Raw genomic sequence first — 23,488 nt, 5'->3', positions numbered from 1 at the left:
CATAAAATAATGATGCATCTTAAAATCAATGGTGTATGCATCTTCCTTAAAATCTATTTTCAAAATATTAAAAACAGATAATCTATAAAATGCATGGTGAATTCTCATTTAGAATTGATTATGAGATCCCTGGTAGGTAGACTCACATCTGTGATTACCTTGACCTTGTGCTTTCTACCACTGCTACCCAATAACAAACCTCAGCAATTCCAGGAAGGAACAAGTTCCTCCATGATTCTGTTTGAAACACTTGGTTCTTCTTAGAGTTTAGTGCTCAGTGTTCTATATTGGATAGATTAATATAGAACATGTCATTGTTCTATATTGGATAGATTAATATAGAACATGTCATTGTTCTATATTGGATAGATTAATATAGAACATGTCATTGTTCTATATTGGAATAATTATAATGATCATTAATATTTATAATGATTATAATGATTTATAATTTTTGAGGGTCTAGTAAATGACAATATGCTAGTCAAAACTGCCAAGATATCTTTGGCTTATTTCTCACAAAAAATCTTGTACAATAAATATTATCAATACCTCTACTTTACAAATGGGTGAATGGAGGCATAAAATGTTTAAGTTACTTAAATAAAGTCCCAGAGCAAATGGTTAATAGAGCAGGATTCAAAGCCAGGCCTCCTCCCTTAATACTGTGTAACACTTAACTCCCAGAAATATATAGGGACAAACAAATTACCAGCAATAAAATGATAAAACTGATATAAATTAATTAACTGTTAAACTATTTTCTCCATGAGGGAATTTTCAACATAGATTAGTCAATCAATAATCTCTCTTGATTTGAAAAAATGAATCCCTCTTGATTTGAAAAAATGAATTATGGCCAGATGCAATTGGCATAGTAGGGTTAATGATCTCTAGAAATCTGAGTAGAAAATGAATGGAAACAAACTCTACAATCAAGGAAGAAGGCAAGTCTCTCAGGGCTATCAGGAAATATGGCCCAACTCTGAGTGTTTTAATGGAGAAAGTCAACAAAAGGCAAGAAGCCACCAATTAAGCTCATTACCTCCTGTGTGTCCTTAAAAGCCCTTTGTTTTCTGAGCTTTTGATGACTCAAGAGAAGGAATTTTCACTTAGATGGCATGAAATTGAAGGGATGGAACTTAAAATAGACCACTTGTTCTTACTGGCAGAGTGACAAATACAAATTCTGTAACTTGCTTGTCTTTGTTTAAGATACACATTTAAAAAGAATGCTTAATACACTGAAAGATGCAGAGGGGGAATCCTATTGTGCTATCGATCAAACATATATGTCATTTTTGTTTCTTTTAAAAGTATGATATTGTTACTTGGGTTTGAAAGGAAAACCACGAAGCTCTTGATATTTAAAACTGCTAAAAATAATCAGTCTTCTTCTGCCAATTGACAGAAAGGTCATAGTTGTGATGCAAACCTTAAAATTCCATGCAATTCAGACTTCAAAAATGGAAGGCTCATTTTAATCAGTGATAAACTTTAATTCATGCAAAAATATAGGCTAATGTCAAGTAGTCCTCCCCAATCTTTCTCAAACATATTGTTAAATATAATGAACCTAGACATACAAATCTTTCAGTTCGGAAAAAAAATAATATTTTGTGTTATTTGTTGGAATATTTAGCCACTTTCCAGTTTAAAAAGAAATTTGGTTTAAGTAAGAAAAAGTTAAGTTTACTCTTTGCCCATGAAGCAATTACTTTTTCAGAAGGATTTCCAATTTAAACTATTAATATATTTGATTTTCAACTTCAGAGCCATAAATGACTTCTAAATATTTAAGAAAAGTCTAGACTTCAGTTATACTGAATATATATTATCCTTGGATTGCATTGAATGCCTGAATTTATTCAGAAATGCATCATCAATAGGTACAATACCTAACAGTATATTTTGTTATTTCACTGGTTATTTCCTATAGCTACACGTATACATAGTATCATCTGCATGGTAGCCCCTTATAACATTCTGCAGAATGTCAAAATATATAAGATTCCTGCTGACTATATTTTGAGAGAGAGCAGAACATTTTACATGGCCTTGTGCACAGACAGTGAATGTATTTTTCTGTTCTTCCCATGTAAAAATTAATGCTTCTGAGTTTCATTATTTATGTATTTTGAGAAAATATTTCCCAGATCAATAACTACATAAAATGTCAGAAGCTGTGTGAATCACTTCAGTAAATATCTAATACCTAGTATTACAAATGCAACTAGCAATAGTATAATATTGGTTTATGGTAGTCTACCATCATTCACATGACCAGTCTGGTTTCTGGAGAGAATATGTTGATGACTTTGAAATTGAGGAGATCATCCCCTCTTCATTCTTTAAGATTTTGATAGTCACACTAATTTATGTAATTCCCTCTGCAACTTTATTTTATCTTGATTCAGGGTTGAGAGAGGGCTCTTATAATAAATGAAAATAACAAACATAACTTTTCTATACATAGCTGGGGACAAAAGTCCCTTGATATGTAATCTATTTGGTGCCAAAACAAGAACTATTCCCACACTTGGCTGTACTGAGATATGACTCTATTTTCTGACTCAGAGGCATTGAGGGGTGGCAGAGGTGGGTCTTGAAGAGGGCAGGCATTATTCTTTAGGTGAGATATTCGCAGAGTATTCAGACAATCCCACACTTTCCTTATCAGAGTCACAGGCTACAAGATTGATATACAAATATCAATTACTTTTCTTCACGTAACAATAAAAAATTGAAACTTAAAAATCAGTACCATTTAGAAAGCAGCAGAGAAGACAAATTACTTAGATATAGGTGTACAAAATATGTGTGAAGTCTTTGTGCTGAAAGCTACAAAACTCTGATGAAAGATCAAAGAAGAACTAAGTAAAAATGAAGATATCTTATGTTCAAGATGGAAAGACTCAGTATTATTAAGAGAGCAATTATTGCCAAACTGAACCAAAAATATAAGGCAATTTTATTCAAAATCTAGAATTTTTTAAGAAACTGTCAAATGCTTCTTCTGATGTTCATGTAGACTAGAATCACCAACAAATTCTGGAAAAGAATTTTATATTAGTCCATTTTTATACTGCTATGAAGAAATACCCAAGACTGGGTAATTTACAAAGAATAAAAGGTTTAATGGACTCAGTTTCATATGGTTAGGGAAGCCTCACAATCATGGCACAAGGTGAAGGGGAATTAAAGACATGTCTTACACAGCAGAAGGCAAGACAGCATGTGCAGGGAAACTGCCCTTTTAATACCATAAGATCTCATGAGGCTTATTCACTACCATGAGAACAGAATGGGAAAGACCTTCCCCCATGATTCAATTACCTTTCACTGGATCTGTCCCACAACACATGGGAATTATGGGAGCTACAATTCAAGATAAGATTTGAGTGGGGACCCATCCAAACCATATCATTCCACAACTGGCCCCTCCCAAAGATCATATACTCCCATTTCAAAACCAATCATGCCTTCCCAAAAGTCCCTCAAAGTCTTAACTCATTTCAGTATTAACTCAAAACTCCACAGTCCAGAGTCTCACCTGAGACAAGGCAAGTTCCTTCTGCCTATGAGTGCATAAATTCAAAAGCAAATTAGTTACTTCCTAGATACAATGAGGATACAGGCATTGGGTAAATACACCTATTCCAAATGGGAGAAATTGGCCAAAATGAAGGACCTACAGGCCTCATGCAAGTCTGAAATCCAGCAGGGTAGTCAAATCTTAAAACTCCAAAGTGATCTCCTTTGACTCCATGTCTCACATCCAGGTCACGCTGATGCAAGAAGTGGGTTCCCATGGTCTTGGGCAGCTCCACACCTGTGGCTTTGCAGGGTACAGCCCTTCTCCTGGCTGCCTTCACAGGCTAGATTTGAGTGTCTGCAGCTTTTCCAGGCATTCAGTGCAAGCTGAGAGTGGATCTACCATTCTCACATCTGGAGGATGGTGGCCCTCTTTTCACAGCTCCACTAGACAGTGCCTGAGTGGTGACTCTGTGTGCAGGCTCCAATACCACATTTCCCTTCAACAGTGACCTAGTAGAAGTTCTCCATAAGGGCTCCACCCCTGCAGGAAACTTCTGCCTGGACATGCAGGCATTTCCATACATCCTCTGAAATCTAGGCAGAGGTTCCCAAACCTCAATTCTTGACTTCTGTGCACCTGCAGGCCCAACACCAAGTGAAAGCTGCCAAGGCTTGGGGCTTGCACCCTCTAATGCTATAGTCCAACCTGTACCTTGGCCCCTTTTAGCCATGGCTAGAGTGGCTGGGATGCAGGACACCAAGTCCCAAGGCTGCACACAGCAGAGGGGCCATGGATCCAGCCCAGGAAACTATTTTTCCCTCCTAGTCCTCCAAGACTGTGATAGAAGGGGCTGCCGCAAAGTTCTCTGACATACCTTGAAGATATTTTCCCCAGAAAATGAGTTTTTCTTTTTTACTCCATTGTCAAGCTGCACATTTTTCAAATTTTATGCTCTGCTTCTTCTTGAACACTTCACCACATAGAAATTTCTTCCATGAGATACCCTAAATGATCTCTTTCCAGTTCAAAGTTCTATAGATCTCTAGGGCAGGGGCAAAGATCCCTGAAGTGTCCTGGAGACATTTTCCCCATTGTCTTGGTGATTAACATTCAGCTTCTTTTTACTTGTATTAGTTCATTTTCACACTGCTAATAAAGACATACCTGAGACTGGGCAATTTACAAAAGAAAGAGGCTTATTGGACTTACAGTTATACGTGGATGAGGAGGCCTCACAATCATGGTGGAATGTGTAAGGCATGTCTCATATAGTGGCAGACAAGAGGAGAGAGCTTGTGCAGGGAAACTCCCATTTTTCAAACCACCAGATCTCATGAGACTTATTCACTATCATGAGAACAGCACAGGAAAGACCTGCCCCAGGATTCAGTTACCTCCCAACAGGTCCTTCCCACAACAGCTGGGAATTCAAGATGAGATTTGGATAGGGACACAGTCAAACCATATCATTACTTATACAAATTTCTACAGTTGCCTTGAATTTCTCCCCAGAAAATGGGGTTTTCTTTTCTATCACATTATCAGGCTGCAAATTTTCCAAACTTTTATGTCCTGCTTCCCCTCGAATGCTTTGTCACTTAGAAATTTGTACCACTAGATAACCTAAATCATCTGTCTCAAGTTCAAAGTTCCACAGATCTCTAGGGCAAGGGCAAAATGCTGCCACTCTCTTTGCATAGCATGAGTGACCTTTACTATAGTTACCAAAAAGTTCCCCATCTCCATCTAAGACCACCTCAGCCTGGACTTTATTGTCCATATCACTATCACCATTTTGGTCAAAGCCATTCAACAAGTCTCTGAGAAGTTCCAAACTTTCCCACATCTTCCTGTCTCATGAGCCCTCCAAGTCTCTAGGAAGTTAGAAATTTTGCCACATTTTTCTCCCTTCTTCTGAGCCCTCCAAACTGTTTCAGCCTCTGCCTGTTACTCAGTTCCAAAGTCACTTCTACATTTTCAGTTATCTTTACAGCAGCATCCCACTCTTTCTGGTACTAATTTAATGTATTACTCCATTTTCATACTGCTATGAAGAAATACCCGAGACTGGGTAATTTATAAAGAAAAAAAAAAAGTTTAATGGACTCACAGTTCCATATGGCTGGGAAGGCCTCCTAATCATCGCAGAAGGTGAAGGAGGATCAAAGGCACATCTGACATGGTGCAGGCAAGAGAGAGTGGTCAGAGGGAACTGCCCTTTATAAAAATATCAGATCTCATGTGTGTTTTTCACTATCACAAGACCAGCATGAAGAAACCCACCCCCTCAATTCAATTACCTCCCGCTGGGTGCCTCCCATGACACGTCAGAATTATGGAGCTGCAATTCAAGATGAAATTTGGGTAGGAACACAGCCAAGCCATATCAAACTTAAAGGGCTAACACTACCTGATTTCAAGACTTACTGTAAAGCCACAGGAATCAAGATAGTATAGTACTGGTGAAAAGAGAAGCAAAAAAATCAAAGAACACAGTTAAGAATATAGAAATAGAACAACAAATTTATGGACTTTTCGTTTCTGACAATGTTTCTAAAGACAAATGCATGGAACAAGGATAGTCTTTTCAACAAATTTTGTTGAAGCAATTGGTCATCTATTTACACAAAACAAACCTTAATCATAATATGTACCACATAAAAAAATTAACTTAAAATTGGTTATGGATCTAAATATAAGACATCAAACTGTAAAACTTTTAAGAAAAACAAAACATTGTGTCACTGGAGTGGGCAAAGATTTCTTAAACAACACCAAAAGCATGATTAATAAAATTAAAAAATGATATGTTGGGATTCATGAGAATTAAGAATTTTATTCAAAAGACAGTTTAAAGAATGAAAAGGAAAATTAAATTACGCAGGGCAAAAATGTTTGCACAATACAATATTTGATAAATTTTTATATTCTACATCATAGATGATATTCTGAAAAGGCAAAATATATAGGTACAGACAACAGATTAGTGCTTGTCCTGGGCTCTAAGTCAGTGGAGGGGTTGTTTACAATGGACAATGGGAGGATTTGGGAGGCAGTTGATGATTTTCTATGTCTTTATTAATGGTGGTTACAAGACTTTATGCATTTTTCAAAACTAGAAGAATCATAAACTCTAATGGGTACATTTTATATTTAAGTTTTGCCTTATTTAAAAAAATAAGAGAGACGACAAGCTACTGGGAAATAATCTAGCCTACCTAATATTTAATGTATTTGTCCTCTGCTTTGCTCTGCTCCTCTGGTGGGCTTCCTAATTGGCAGGTGCAAGCTGAGTTCTGGGCAGTATGCTTGCATTTTGGCCTGGACAAGGCATTTAGATACAGCTTAGTTATTGACTTCTGTGTCACAAAGGGGCTGTGAGCCACCCTGAAGCTTTTCTTTGGGTTTCCACTGGAGAAGCTGTGCAACATTCTGGCCATGATATGTAAAAAATCATGAGTTTTATTCATCATAGTAACTATAGTTTTCATAGAGAGATTATATTTGGGCAACATTATTTTTTAAAATGTCTTTTACTCAGTTAACTACCAACTAAGTATAGAGAGGAAGTAAAAAAAAGTTATCTATAGAATTATATACTAATTGAAATAAAATATAAAATCATTTAAATGTTTAACCATGTTAAAGGGAGCATCATGACCCAGAGCGTTATTCTTAGAAGTTGCCAGCCTTATAAAGACCCATCAGGGTAAGCAAGTCTAGGGACAAGCAGTTAAAAATGAAGCACTTCTAACTATGTACCTCAAGGTGAAATAGATTTTATAGAAAAAGCCATATATGATAAAAATCTAAACTTTCAGAACTAGATGACTTTGATGGATGGCTTTACAAAATGATAGCTAATATAACATAATTCAAAATCAAATGAGTTTTTAAAATAGAGCATCTGGGCCGGGCGCGGTGGCTCATGCCTGTAATCCCAGCACTTTGGGAGGCCGAGGTGGGCGGATCACGAGGTCAGGAGATCGAGACCATCCTGGCCAACACGCTGAAACCCCGTCTCTACTAAAGATACAAAAAATTAGCCAGGCGTGGCAGTGGGCACCTGTTGTCCCATCTACTAGGGAGGCTGAGGCAGGAGAATGACGTGAACCCGGGAGGTGGAGCTTGCAGTGAGCCAAGATCGTGCCATTGCACTCCAGCCTGGGCAACAGAGTGAGACTCCATCTCAAAAAAAAAAAAAAAAAAAAAGAAAAAGAAAAAAAGAAATGAAAATAGAGCATCTGGCAGAGAGCATCGTCCATATGACCCTTCACCTGGGTCATATTCTCACTGTGGCTTCCAAGGCTTTTTCTCTACCCTTTCCTTCAATTTGAGTTTGTTTGTTGCAGTGAAACTAATGATATGTTTCATGAGACAATAATCTCTTTCATGTTGCAGTATCAGAAAGTACATATGAATGACCCCAAGAATACTGTCTATGAAGAAATTTTTGTGAAACCCACAACATTAAGCAGTAGTGGCAAATTATTAGTCAAGGGTCTTTCCTCTTACCTCATAATTCTATCACATGAACATGATAGTAAGTTACTTATATAGTTTGGCTCTGTGTCCCACCCAAATCTCACCTTGAATTGTAATCCCAAAAATCCCCACGTGTCAAGGTCAGGACTAAATGTAGGTAATTGGATGATAGAGGAAGTTTTCCCCATGCTATTCTCATGATAGTGAGTGAGTTTCATGAGATCTGATGATTTTATAAGCATCTGGCATTTCCCCTGCTAGCACTCACTTCATTCTGCCATCCTGTGAAGAAGGTGCCTTTCTTCCCCATCACTTTCTACCATGCCTGAGGCCTTCGCAGCCATGTGAAACTGGGAGTCAATTAAACTTCTGTATAAATTACCCAGTCTCAAGTATTTTCTCATAGCAGTGTGAGAATGAGTTAATATAGTTTATTTCAGGAATGATTCAGCCTTCAAACAAATGTACTACTGAACATCCAGACAATCAAAATAGACAGACAAGCAACCAATAAAAACATCATGAAAGATATTTTTCTGTCTTCAAAATTAGTTTAGAATTATCTCTAATTTTTAGTTCAGGAAATTTTTATCACTTAAGCGATTATACTTTTGTTCAGTGGAAAATTTTCAGATTTGTAGCTCTCAGGAAAAGTTGATTTAATATTTTTTAAATTATTGTTTTTCAACTTTAATAATATTAAAATCATTTTAAATATATATTTTAGAAAGTTTTAGTAATATTTCTCCTTAATACAAAAATGCAATCTTACTTTCTTAGGTATAAAAAATTAGGATGCAAAATAGGACCAACATTGCTGAGAGACTAGTACAAGGAATCATCTTCTGGTTATAGATTTATTCATTTTAATCAGGAGAATAAAAGCATGCTTTTGATGTTTTTATCAGACAGTTTAGATTTACATTTTGTTTTGCTAATGTGGAAACAACAAATTTACCAGGAGTTTTATGGAAGGTTCCTTCTTTTCTTCCACTATAAATCAGTAATCTTTGAAAGTTAGAGTTTAACATTCATGACATTTCATTTTAAAATATTAACTTGCAAATAATGTTTTTCTCAAAATGTATTTTCTGAATGGTAGTCTATTTTTCTGTTATCTTACTCTTTAGAATATCAGTAATATTTGAAGTTTACGTTTTCAGGCCATAGAGCAGATCATGGGATAAATTTGCATTTGGACTGGTGAACTACCAGTGATTTTATGCAGGTGATTAAAAAAAACAGAAGCTTGATAAAAACATCTTCAAAAACCTAAAAAAGATAAAGAAATGGAAAAGAAAATGTCAGATTGACATTTATGTTTTAATTTTGAATATTTTAATTATCCTTCACTTCATAAAAGTATGTCATTTTACATTTCCCATTATTATATTTCACACAAGAAGTATTAATTTGTTCTTCTACAGTATCTATATACATTGATTTTCTTTCTGAAAGCAATTTGTGTGTAAATAGTTGCCTGACATCTTAGAACTCCTGCTTAAAAAACCTACCATCATTTTTTAATGGAATATACAATTTCTAACAGAAAAAAATTCTGAGTTCTAAATGTATACAAGGATGTGAAGACTTTATAATAGAGAAAAACATATCAACTGGATTTCTAACTTGTATTTATCTGCAAGATAACTTCAGCAAAACTATATTTTCCTATTGTGGTTTATAAAATAACAAAAATGTAAATTAAAATCATTATTTTCAACTATTGTAGCAGAGCATTTACACACTGTTTATAAGATGCTAATAGATCAAGGTTTTAAAAATATTTTGATATATTTTAATATTTTGATAGTTTGATAATATTTGAATAATTAACCTATGTGAGGCAAAAACTGAGAGAATTGCAAGGAGAAACAGACAAATCCAATAATATACTTGGAGCCCTCCATATGTTTCCATTAGTAATTAATACGATCAGCAAAGTAAAAATCAGTAAGGGCAAAGATGACTTGAACAGCACTATCAATTAATTTCACCTAATTCATATTTTTAGAATACTTCATCCAACAACAGCAGAATACTAGCTCTTCTCAAGCTCACATGGAACGTTCACCAAGAAAAATCACATTCTGATCCATTTAAAAACACCATATATATATATATATTTTTTTTTAAATAATAGAAATGAAAGTATGTTCTTAGATGTCTAGGGAATCAAACGGGATATCTATAACAGAGAGGTAGCCAGAGAACCCCCAAATATTTAAAAATTAAACAACGCATTTCAAATAACTCATAAGTCACAAAAGGGGATGCAAGAGAGATTTTTGAAATATTTTGAACTAAATAAAAATAATATCAAAAATATCAAAATATGTGTAATGCATAGAAATCAGTGCTTAAAGGGAAATGTATAACATGAAGTACATATATTAGAAAAGAATAAATTTCTAATATCAATAACCTCTAGCGTCCACCTCAGGGAGCTAGAGAATGAAAAGCAAATTAACACTAAAGCAAGAAATAAATAATTAACAGAGTAGAAAACAAGGAAATCAATACCAATAAACAATAGATTAAAATAAACCAAACCAAAAGTGAGTTCTTTGAAAAGATCGATAATATTGATAGACCTCTAGCCAGGCTAACCCAGGAAAAAAACAAGAGAGAGAGAGATAGTAAAAATTACCAATGTCAGTAATGAGAGAGAAGTCATTATTACTAATCCCATGGACAGTAAAATCATGATAAAAGAACAATTATGAACAACTATAGACTTACAAATTTGATAAATTAAATGAAAACAGATGAATTCATTGAAAGACACAAACTACCAAAACTCACACAAGGAAAAATAGCTGAAATAGCTACAGTAAGTAAGCTAGTGTGTTCTTGGTAAAATAATAGACATGTAGATCTATGAACCAAAATTGAGAGCTCAGAAATAGGCCCACATAAATACAGTCAACTTATTCTTTTTTTAAGTCACAAAGACAATTCAATGCAGAAAAGATCATTTTAAACCAATGGTGCTGGAATGACTGGAAATACAAATGTGAAAAATTAAATCTAAAGACAAACATTACAACTTACATAAAAATTATTTATAGACCTAAATGCAAAATGCAAAACTATAAAACTTCTAGATAAGAACATAGAAAAAATATTTATGATATAGGGTTTGATTATGAGTTTTAGATATAAACTAAAGCATAATTCATGACAGGAAAAAGTATGCCAGACTTAAGTAAAGGCTTCTGCACTGTGAAAGATACTGGTAAGATAATGAAAAGTCAAGACAAAAGTGAGAAAAACTATTTGCAAAATACACATCCAAATGGACTTACATTCAAAATACACAAAGAATTCTTAAAACAATAAGAAACAAATGAACAAACCTGGGCAAATAATCTGAACAGACACCTCATTCAGAAAAAATATATAGACAGGTGGAAAATAAGCGTATGACAAAAATGTTTAATCATCATTTTTCACTATGAAAATGAGAAATTCAAACAAAAAAGACATTCCACTGCACACAGATTAGAATGTCTAAAATCACAAGCCTGATTATACCAATTGCTGGTGAAGTTGAAGAGCAACACTTTTCATTTAATGCACGTGGGAATACAAAATGGCTTAGCCACTTTTGAAGACATTTGTAAATTTCTTACAAAGATAAACATAATCTTATGCTCCAGCAATCATTGTCCTAGGTATTTACTCAATTAACAGAAAAATTCATGTTTACATAAACTCCAATATGCAAAATTGTTTCGAAGCTTTATTTATGATTGCCCAAAACTGGGAGCAATAAAGATGTCCTTCAATAGAGGAATACATAAATAAGCTATGATACATTCACACAATGGAATACTATTTAATAATAAAAAGAATGAACTATCAAGCCATGCAATAATATGAATGAATATTAAATGCATATTGCTGAGTGAAAGAAGCCAGTCTGAAAAGGCTGCATAGTATATAACTCAATTTACTTACATAATGTGGAAGGTCAAACTCTAGAGATAATAAACAGGTCAGTGGTTGCCTTAGGTTCAGTGGCAGGGGGAGTCTTGTAAAAGTAAAGCATAAGAGATTGTTTTAGGACTGTGAAAATATTCTGTATGGTACTATAATAGTGGATGTATAACACCAGGCATTTGTCAAAATTCATACATCTTTATATCATGAAGTTAACTTTAATGCATGCAAAATTCAAAGAAAAAACAACTAGGAAGTCCAGTATGCAATACAGACTCTCACAAAATAATCTAATTGTACTAAAATATATGCAATAACCTCTTTGAAGGGAGTGTGGGGAAGATAATAATGACCTAAGTAACTTTGAAAATGAATGAGGACTATAAAAGAATAAAGACAGAAAAAATCCTACATAAACATTTTATTCTATTTGATAAGGTTGTTTCCCATAACAATTTCTGAAACCACTCTCTATGTATACCAGAATTGAACAATTAAGTAAATGAATGTGGGATGGTACAAGTTATGCCTTCTTACTGATGTTGGAAGGTTTTAGGCAAACAAGGGAAGAGGGCTTGAATATTCCACCTGGTAATGGAATAGAGTTAGACAAATCAGTACCAACTCATATTTAGCATAAGATGGATACAGAGGGTAACATATAAAAATACATATATATATATATATATATATATACACACACACACACACACATACACATACACATAGTGTACATGCATATTATGGACTGAATGTTGAAATCTAGTCCCCAGTGTGATGGTATATGGAGTGAGGCTTTGGGCAAGTGATTAGGTCAAGTGATTTAGGTCACAAAGAAAGGGTCAAAAAATCCTTTTTGAATGGGATTAGTGCCCTTATGAGAATGGGTCAGAGGGCTAGGTTCTTCCTTTACTGCCATTTGAGAGTCCATCCACATAATAGCCATCTGCAACCTGAAAGAGCGCTTTCACCAGAACCTAGTCATACTGGCACCATGACCTTGAAATACTAGTCTCCAAAACTGTGAAAAATAAATTTCTGTTGTTGATTAAGTCAACCAGTTTATGGTATTCAATATGGCAGCCCTGTGCTTGCCAAGACAATGCATCTATTTCCTTGCTTTGTCAGCTGAGAAAGCCTTGAAGAAATGTTTCTTCAATAGGAATAAAAATACCCAGCAACTGCACTCTGAAAGCATGGGCTGTATATACTGACTTACTTTCAGAAATTACAATATGGAAAGGTGGGAAAAGAGTAACTTGACAGTAGAGAAACTTGACAAACACTACATCAGCCAAGGGATCAAGGTCCACATCAGTAGTGATGTTATGTTGATACTGTGTATCCCTTGATACGATGTGATAAGAGTGGCACATCAGCTCTGTACTCTACATCTTTCTCCTAAAAACCAACAGCCTTAGTGTAATCATGAGACAATTGAGGGAGATTCTGTGAAATACATGACCAGTACTCCTCAAAAGTGTCAAGATCATCAAAAATAAAGAAGTATGGGACACTATCACAGCCAGGCGGATCGTAAGAAGACATGATAACTAAATGTGATGAGGGATCCTTGATGGGATCCTGGAAGAGAAAAAAGACATTCGGTAAAACTAAAAAACTCTAAATGAAACGTTCACTTTAGTTATTATGCATCAATATTAGTTCATTAATTGTGACAAATGTACCATACTAAAGTAAGGTATTACTTTAAAATGGAGGAAACTGGGTGTAGCTATATGGAGTATCTCTATACTATCATCACAACTTTTTTGGTAAATCTGAAACTATCATAAATTTTAAAGTTCATTTATAAAGGGATTTAAGAAGAAAATGTCTCAACATGATTAGTCACTAGAAAAATACAAATTAAGATCATGATGAGGTGTCATTAAGCAGTCATAAGAACAGCTAAAATAAAATACAGTGACATTATCAAATGTCATTGTGGCTTTGGAGAAACTAGATATCTCATCCATTTCATAAGGAGATGTAAAATGGTACAGACACTTCGGAAAAGAGTTTGACAGTTTTTTAAGAACTGAATACACAGTTTTGATATGCCACAGAAGTTGTAATCCCAACATAATTAAAATCATCATAATTAAATCACTATATAATTAAAATCACTATTGCTCCTAGGGTAAAAACCTGTACAACATGTTATTGTACTGAATACTGTAGGCAGCTGTTACATAACTGTAAATATCTGTGTATCTAAACACAGCTAAACACACAAAAGGTACAGTTAAAATATGGTACTATAATCGTATGGGACCACTGCCACATAGATGGTTCATAATTGACTGAAATGTCATAATGTGGCACATGATGGTATTTTAGCTGTTCATTCTAGCATTCCCATACATAAAATGTCTATAATAGTATATTTAATTGAAACATTTAAATAGTATCTATTGATTTTGCATTATATAAATATTGCTTATTGTTGGCCTTGTACTTTGTTATGATGTTTCCATTCTTCATTTTTGTGGGTTCTTCATGGAGTTAATACCCACTTATTTAAAAATACTTGGCTGTATTGATAACTAGAGTGAACTATGTATTACTATTATCTTTCATAGCCTTTGATATAATTTTCCAGTAGTGAAATCTCTCAGATTATTGACCACTTTAATTTTTCCCTTCAGATAACATCCCACCTCAGCTCTCTCTCTCCTTACTCAGATTGGATTTGTTTCATAGTTATAAGATCCCAAAATTTTCTTTCACTTTTTTGCTAAGAATTTTATTAACATTTTTCTTTTGGTGCCTGTGATTTGGATCATACTTTTTTCTCATTCTTGCTTATTCCGTTATTTTGGTGGGATATATTCTCACTGGGTTTCCCAGGAGAGGGTGAATAACAGAAATAATTTTGTAGACCACAGTCTCCTCATCCTCGATTAATTATTTAGCTGGGTATAGAATCCAGGCGTTTACAAGATTTCAACTGCTGCTATTGAGAACCATAATGCCATTCTGATGCCTGATCTTCGGTATAGAATCTGTTTTGTCACCCATTTTTCTGCCTCTCTGGGTATTTCACAATGATATGATTTAATAATGGTTCCCTTATAAAGAATTTTCATCAGTCTCCTTCTTTCTAGCTCACATGTCACCCTTTCCTTAGAAAACAGGCATCCCATATTTATTATTATCATTATTTTATTTGTATACATTTAACAGATACATGTGCAGTTTGGTTACATAGATATGTTGCATAGTAGTGTAATCTGGAATTTTAGTGTAACCATCACACCTGAATAGTGTACATTTGCACTCATTAAGTAATTTCTCATCCCTCACCCTCCTCCCATCATCCCACTATCATGAGTCGCCAGTGGCTGTTATTCCACATTCTATGTCTACGTATACACATTATTTAGCTCCACTTGTAACTGAGAACAAGTGGCATTTGACATTCCATTTGAGTTGTTTACATTAGGATAATGGCTTCCAGTTTTATCCATGCTGCTGCAAAAGACATAACTGCATTCTTTTTTATGCCCAACTAGGGTTCTATCGTGTGTGTGTGTGTGTGTGTGTGTGTGTGTGTGTGTGTGTGTGTGTGAGAGAGAGAGATATATATATTACAAATTTTCTTTATCCCATAATCCGTTGATAGACAGGTTGATTCTGTATCTTTGCTACCGTAAATAATGTTGCAAAATAAGCATACAAATGCAGGTATCTTTTTGATATAGTGATTTTTTTTTTGTTTGGGTAGATACACAGTTATGGGATTACTGGATCAAATGGTAGTTCTTTTTTTAGTTATTTGAGAAATCTTCATACTGTTTTCTATGGAGGTTTTACTAATTTACATTCCCACCAACAGTGTATACGTGTTCCCTTTTTTCTGCATCCTTATCAAAATCTTTTTTCAATCTTTTTATAGGTGGATATTCTGCCTGTTGTAAGATATCTCATTGCATTGTGGTTTTAATTTGTGTTTTTATGATAATTAATGACATTGAGTATTTTAATATGTATGTCTTCTTTTGAGAAAATGTCTTTTCATGTCCTTCGTCCACTTTTTAATGGGTTATTTTGTTGTTATTCTTAAGTTATTTGAGTTCCTTGGAAATTCTGGATGTCAGGCCCTATGTGAGATTCATGGTTTGCAAACATTTTCTTCCATTCTGCAGGTTATCTGTTTGCTCTGTTGATTATATTTTGCTGGCTATGCAGAAGATTTTTAGTTCAATAAGTAACATTTGTCTAATTGTATTTTTGTTGCTTGTGCCTTCAAGGTCTTAGTCATGAATTATTTGCCTAGGCCAATGTGTAGAAAAGTTTTTTCCTGGGTTTTATTCTTCTATTTTAATCATTTCAGGTCTTATTTAAGTCTCTGATCTATCTTGTGTTGATTTTTGTATATGATGAGAGGTAGGAATCCACTTTCATTCTTCTGCCTATAACAATTCAATTCTCTCGGGATTATTTATTAATAGGATATCCTTTCCCCACTGTATTTTTTTTTTTTGTCAAAGATCAGTTGGCTGTAGATATGTGGCTTTATTTCTCAGTTCACTATTCTATTCCATTGGTCTATGTGTCTATTTTGTCTTCCACTACCATGCTGTTTAGGTTACTATAGCCTTGTGTAACTTGAGGTCAGGTAATGTAATGCCTCCAGCTTTGTTCTTTTGCTTAGGATTACTTTGGCTATTTGGGCTCTTTTTTGGTTCCATATGGATTTTAGGATTGTTTTTTCTAATTCTGTGAAAAAATGATATTGGTAATTTGAAATAAATTGCATTGAATCTGTAAGTTGTTTTTGGACAATATGGTCATTTTAATGCAATTAATTCTTCTGATCCATGAGCATGGGATATTTTTCCATTTGTTTGTGTCATCTACAATTTCTTTCATCAGTTTTTTGTAGAGTCCCCTGTAGAAAGCTTTCATCTTCTTGGTTAAATATCTTCCTAAGTATTTTATTTATTTATGTATTTATTTATCTAGTAGCTATTGTAGATGGGATTGCCTGATTTGGTTCTGAGCTTGATTGTTATTGGTACATAGAAATGCCACTGAATTTTGTACAATGATTTTGTATCCTGAAACTTTACTAAATTCACTTGCCATGTCTAAGAGTTTTTTTTGGAGAAGTCTTTAGGATTGGCAAATATAAGATTACACTATCAGCAAACAAATCTTTGTGGAGTTTTGTAGTATAAATAGACTTACTACTTGCTAATATCCCTTTTGCAGTGACTTGGAACTTTATTCACTCAGTTGGTTAAAAAACTCACCAGTTTTCCCTAGCCCTCAAATTATTGAAATGTCTTGTGCTTTATTATATGTTCTCTTCTGCTCTCATCCTTGCATAATTACAACTGTTTTTATTCAAATGGGACTCAATAAGGGAGATGACATGAGTGTACACATTCTATCTGCTACCTTAACTGCAAGTTAATTCAACAACTCTTACTTTTATTTTATTAATATAATTACCATAAAACATTTGATTCAGCTATTTTTTTCTGTTAATTCAATAGCTTTTTAAGTTTTTTATCTTGCCTTTGTTTTAAATAAACTGCCTATAAATAGGAACCTTTAATATATCAGCAATATATTTACTAGCATGTGTGGTAGTGATAATTAATCTAATAAGACATGCAGTAATCTGTTTTGAAAAATGAGTTGTTTCAGTAAAAACTTACTGAAAATCATTTCATTATTTTTTGCTTGAAATCTTCCTGAATTCAGTGCCACTTACTTTTTGTCTTAAAGAGGATTATGTTTACTGAATGAATATTCTTTTAGCTAGTGCTGATAATCTTTATTCACCAAAAACTAGATGATTTACTCAATAGCAAAAATAACATTTCAGGTGCTGTGGAGACATGAAAGATAGGGTGTTTTATATATATATATATATATATATATATATATGATCATCATTAAGTTGATACTTTTTTTCTTGCCTTTGCTGTCTAAACTTAGTGCTGTAATTCTAATTTTACTTCTCCTTGGCTACTTTTTAAATCCTTGATGATTTACTACAGTCTATAAACTAAAGAAAAATAAAATTTCCAGTCAAAACACTTATTTCACTAAAATATTGAGTCTATTACTGTGGTACTAAAAGCTCATGTCTCTAAGGTAGTTTAAATAAAATAATAGAGTATTAACAGATGTTTTCCTCAGAGCTTTTCTTCCTTCATTTCTTCTGGGTTTCCAGATGGGTCTTAATTGTTTTTCAATAGATTTTCCTTCATCTGGATATTATAGTTCTCAGCAAATACTCATTGAATTAAGATTGAATTATCACAAGAAGAATTCTTCTTGATGACAAAGTAAAATCTTTTAAGTTGTTTGAATAATTTATAGAATATATACTAGAATATATACTAAGAAATTCTAGTAAAAAGCAGAGTCTCTGAGGTTGGACTCGTTTCTCAGCTTCACTTCATACTGGCCAGGTGACTTGGGCCAAGCAATTTAACTTTTCCAAACTTTGGTTCCCTCATCTTTAAAATAAAGATTACAATTTCTTTTCCACAGGGTTTTAGTAAAGATTAAATCAAATAGTCCATAGTGCATTGCTTCCCATGGGGTAATATCTCCATAATCATTAGTTGTTACTATTTTCTTTTTTTTGACTTCAATAAAATGTTTTATTAAAATAAATGTCACCTGTTTCTTTTTACTTCTTTTTTTTAAATTATACTTTAAGTTTTAGGGATGAAGCTGGAAACCATCATTCTCAGCAAACTATTGCAAGGACAAAAAAACACCGCATGTTCTCACTCATAGGTAGGAATTGAACAATGAGAACACATGGACACAGGAAGGGGAACATCACACACCGGGGCCTGTTGTGGGGTGGGGGAACGGGGGAGGGATAGCATTTGGAGATACTCCTAATGTTAAATGACGAGTTACTGGGTGCAGCACACCAACATGGCACATGTATAGTTGTTACTATCTTCTTGTTTTGTGCTAAGGATTGAACTAGGTATTGGTGATGAGCAAAACAGCCATATTCAATGACTAGAAGTATGAAACATGATAAGTCCTAGGATAGACTAGTAAATGCATGTAGTTTTTCTTTAGACTGGTCTGGATTTATGATCTGGTTTTGGGGCTATCTGTTATTTTTGGCAAGTTATTTAACCTCTCAAAGTCTCAGTTTTCTCAATTATAAAATGGTTATTCTAACAACACCTTCATTTGATTGTCATGACAACTGTATAAGAAAATGACCATAACATGAGTAATACAGTCTTTTTCACAAAGAAGTGCACAATCATGTCAGTATGACATTAATATTTATTCCTGAAACAACATGCAAAATTTTAATCAGTTAATGGTGTTTATTCATCCATTATTCATCATTTAAGAGTGATACACATATATAAACATTGATGTTTATACACATTTTGTGAACCACATAACATAATTAAAAGTATGCTTTAATTATAGTCTTGTCTTTAAGTCACACCTTCTGAGAACTGTTTCCACCTGGGGGGTAGGTTTTGAATAACATAGTGGTATTCTATTTTTAGGCACCAATTTAAGAGGCTTGCACCTCTGAGGGAAAAAAACTACTTAGAAAGTTTTAGTATGGGTTCTGTTCTTTCTGTGAGATGTAAATTTTGTTTTCTTTTCAAATAGGGAGTAGAGACTCTCCATGCGCTCTTTCTCATCCCAGCTCTCCTGAATGTGAATGTCCAAATTAGTCACCAGGAACATAGTGAAATTAGCACAAAGCTTTCATTATTGCTGTGAATAATAACAATCCAAATTTTACTGTTTAATTTCTAAATGAAAACAAGTGTTACTTTTTACAAAATAAATAATGTGAAATTATTGCTTGCATCTTTTCCTCTGCAAGTAAACATGACCAAGATTTATTCATAGCTTTCTGCATGATATCAACATAGCAAACAATTCAGTGCATTTGATTTTTTAAGAAACTTAATCAGACTAATTATACCACATTTTGAAAATCAGATAATTTGTTAATTTAAATTTTCATTTTTATAGCATGTTTTCATGATATTACATAGACTGAAGCCTATTAGAAATACTCATGTCCATTATTTATTGCACATTTTAATTGAACTTTACAACAAAAGAACATTTTCTTGAAGATAAAAACTATTTTTACTTTCCATGTCTATAACATATGATTTAGTTGTTATGATTCTACCAAATAATTTAGATCTTAACCATATGAGATAACTGGAAAAAATTTTAAATGTTCCAAATTCTCTCCATTTCCCAAGTAGAAAAATAATTTATATTAATTCTTAAAATAAAAAGAAACATGAAAATAACACTGAGGTTGGAGTCAGGGACATCTCCACCGCAGATTCAATAGGAATTTGTGAATAAACATACAAGTAAAAATCTGAAAAAAACAGCAATAGGGAAAAAGAGTAAATTATATGCAAATTATCAAAAGGATACTGGAAGAATATGAAAGTGTTTTATGCTATCCCTTATATTGTCCTCAATATTTCTGACATAGCTAATGTTTTGTCAAGTTTTGGCAAATAGTGAGTTTTCCCAAATAGCAAGTGAGGATTACACAAACTATATTTCTAATAAAGTAATTGCTGTATGCAAAAATCAATGAAGTAAAGATCATTAGTTGAACTCTCCTATTTTACAGATGAACAAACAGGCTACTGAGGTTAATTGAAGTCATGGAGAACATCCTGTGAGTTACTTGCTGAACTAGAAATAGAACCCATGTATGTGTTCAAGCTCCTTTATGCTTCACATCACTGGGCCACTCTACATCAAAATATTTCCATTCTCTGATTTTTCAACAAAATTTTAAAATATTATCTACCAACATATTTTCTTCAATCTATAGCAAAACTTTTTAAAGAAATTGTCTAGACCAATGATCTCTCAACTAGGATGGACAAAACCCGGAATCTGTGCAGTGAACTATGTAGTGAACTGGTCACTACAGTGCAAGAGAAAATACTGTAACTTTTACTTACATTTACTTTTATCTCAAGATAAAAAATTAAAGTTCTCAAACAATGTATATTAGCATATATGTTGGATGACAATTCCTCTTAGTATGCTCAGAGTAATTTTAGCTCCTGTTTTCCAATAAAATTGTTAAATAATATTTCCTTTCACTTTCAAAATTGGCCCAGTTGAACAATAAGTTATTTGGCTAACAAGTAAAATGTGTGTACGAGCACATAAAAAGTACTCTAATGAGACAGTAGGTGCTTGACAATCTGGAAGGGTCCGCTATATCACTTCAATATATTTCAACACATAACCATTAACTAAACATAATACAAATGGAAAATGCCTGAAAAATATTACTGCAAAAAAACTAGGTTGATGTTTATAATCATAATGTAAGCATGAAAAAACAATCAGAAAATGACAGAAAGAATACTTTTAACCTTTAAACTCCTAAAGTTATTTGTCAGTCCTATAATATGATGAAAGTTGAAAAGAAATTAACTACAGTAAGCAAGGTATTTAAAAACCACAAAACCAAACTCTTTTTTTGAACGCTTAATACATATTGATTCATTTGGTCTTTATCTCTATTGGATAGGCATGACTATTATCTTACATTTAACTTGTGATGAAATTGAATCACAAAGATTTTCAATAACTTTTCCAAAGCCACGTAGCTATTATTCCTTGAAGACCATCTGAAATATTTTTGAAAGTATCATATTAATAGAGTAGTATATTAATATTATTCATATAAAAGCATTGCATAAAAGTAAGGCACACAGACTTACCCTATGTTTACAGCCTATAGAAATGAAAAATGAAAATAGTCCATTCTATTTTTGGAATTTAATATACAGATTTACTTGCAAAAATATGAAATGATCATATACACGTTTATCCATTGCAGCATTGTTTGTAATGGGAACATTTGGAAACAACCTAACTGTCCATCACTTGGGGATTAAGCAAATTGCAGCAAAAATAACAACAAGAAAAAGACAGCTATACAAAAGAATTAGAACATCCACATGTAGGTCCAGTGTTAATATTTCTATCTTGATAATGAAAAGCAAGATACAAAACAAAATGTATAATAGGCTTTTTTTTTGGTAAAATGATGCAAAGTAACCTATGTTTACATTTCAATGTGCATTCATAAAGATACTTGGAGGTTAAACAAAAAAAAAGGCAGGGAAGGATTAGTGTTGACTTTAACCAGGATTGAGGAACAGGGGTGTCTAAATGAAATGGAAGAGGGATTTTCACTTTGTATTTTGGGGTTATTAAACTATGGTCTTATTCTCCTTCCTCGAAATTAAATTAACTTAAAATTTAGAAAGCATTAAAACTATGGTATCATAACTGATCATATCAGCTAAGATAAATCAAAAACCATTAGAAATTAATTTGCCATGGTAAAAAATTACGGACAAGAGATACAAAATGTAAATGATATTTCCTTGTATTTGCTCTCTTCTTGTCAATCCTTATCAGTATGGAGCACAGAATTTATTTTTATGTTTTGCACATTTTGTTTCATAAATTTAACTACACTAACTTTTTTTCTACACATACTAAGACCATTCATAAATTTCTTCTATTCTTAATAAATAACACACCAACATGCATCTCTTGACTTTAATGGACAAGAATGAAAGATCCTGATGTTTGGGAAGATTGGCCATTTCTACAATTTATGAGTTGTATAGACTTGGATAGGATTCTTAACTTCTCTCGGACTCTTTCTTCAGCTGTGAAATGAGAAAATGATTATTCCCTTTATTTCATTTCTTAATGAGATATTGTAGGTAAATCCTCTAACACCTATTAGGGATTCAATGACTTTCCTTTTGCTTTTCATAAATAAAATGGTATTCCAGAAACAAAAGAGAACTTCCAACTGATAGATCAAGGCATGATTCATGGAGAAGGTAACATTTACTCTGAAGCTTGGAGCAGAATTACAAGTTGGACTTGTGAAAATGTAGGAAAAGAAGTTCTCAGAAGAGAAAACAACATGAGCAACATGAACTTGTTTAAAGTGTTAGAAGTAAAAGATATGTAAGGAGTACACCTGTATATCAGCTTGCAAGAAGCATAATATGCATAAAATTGGAAGTAATTAGAAGGCAGAATTTTTAAGGTATTAAAATTCTCACTAAGAAATTTGGACCTACATTTATTAAGAACAAATACCTGTTAAGAGGTTTTGTATGACATAAATAGGAGAGTGAGTTATGAAGAAAAACTCAGCAACGGAGTGTGTCTAGAGTGGAAAGAACTTGTGTAGGAAGACATTAATTATGAGTCTTTAGGAAGAGTCATGAGAGAAGTAAATAAGAAGCATGGATTTGAAGATCTGTAGTAAAATGATGGGGTAGTGACTAGCAGAGTTACTATGAAGGAAGCACTGTAGAAATGTCACCTACTATAAAAGAATAAAAATGATATAGTTATGCATACATGGAAATGTCACAGTGCATAACTGCTTTGTGGCCCTGCCCAGTCACTATTCACTTTTCCTTTAGATGTTGTATTTAATGATAAGTGGTGAATGGTTTA

At 33.4% G+C, this 23,488-nt stretch overlaps 1 annotated feature.

Annotated features, from left to right (window-relative positions):
* Window positions 683-1,311: an enhancer, noted in NCBI's record as "OCT4-NANOG hESC enhancer chr6:81914442-81915070 (GRCh37/hg19 assembly coordinates)". NCBI's record gives its function as "activates a minimal SCP1, AML or CMV promoter by ChIP-STARR-seq in naive H9 embryonic stem cells {active_cell/tissue: H9 hESC(naive)}" and the evidence as "EXISTENCE:reporter gene assay evidence [ECO:0000049][PMID:30033119]".

This window comes from Homo sapiens, chromosome 6 (genome assembly GCF_000001405.40).
Source record: "Homo sapiens chromosome 6, GRCh38.p14 Primary Assembly".
In the NCBI taxonomy this organism is placed as follows: domain Eukaryota; kingdom Metazoa; phylum Chordata; class Mammalia; order Primates; family Hominidae; genus Homo; species Homo sapiens.
Note: the sequence above shows the minus strand (reverse complement) of the source record. Positions and strands in the feature narration are given on the sequence as shown.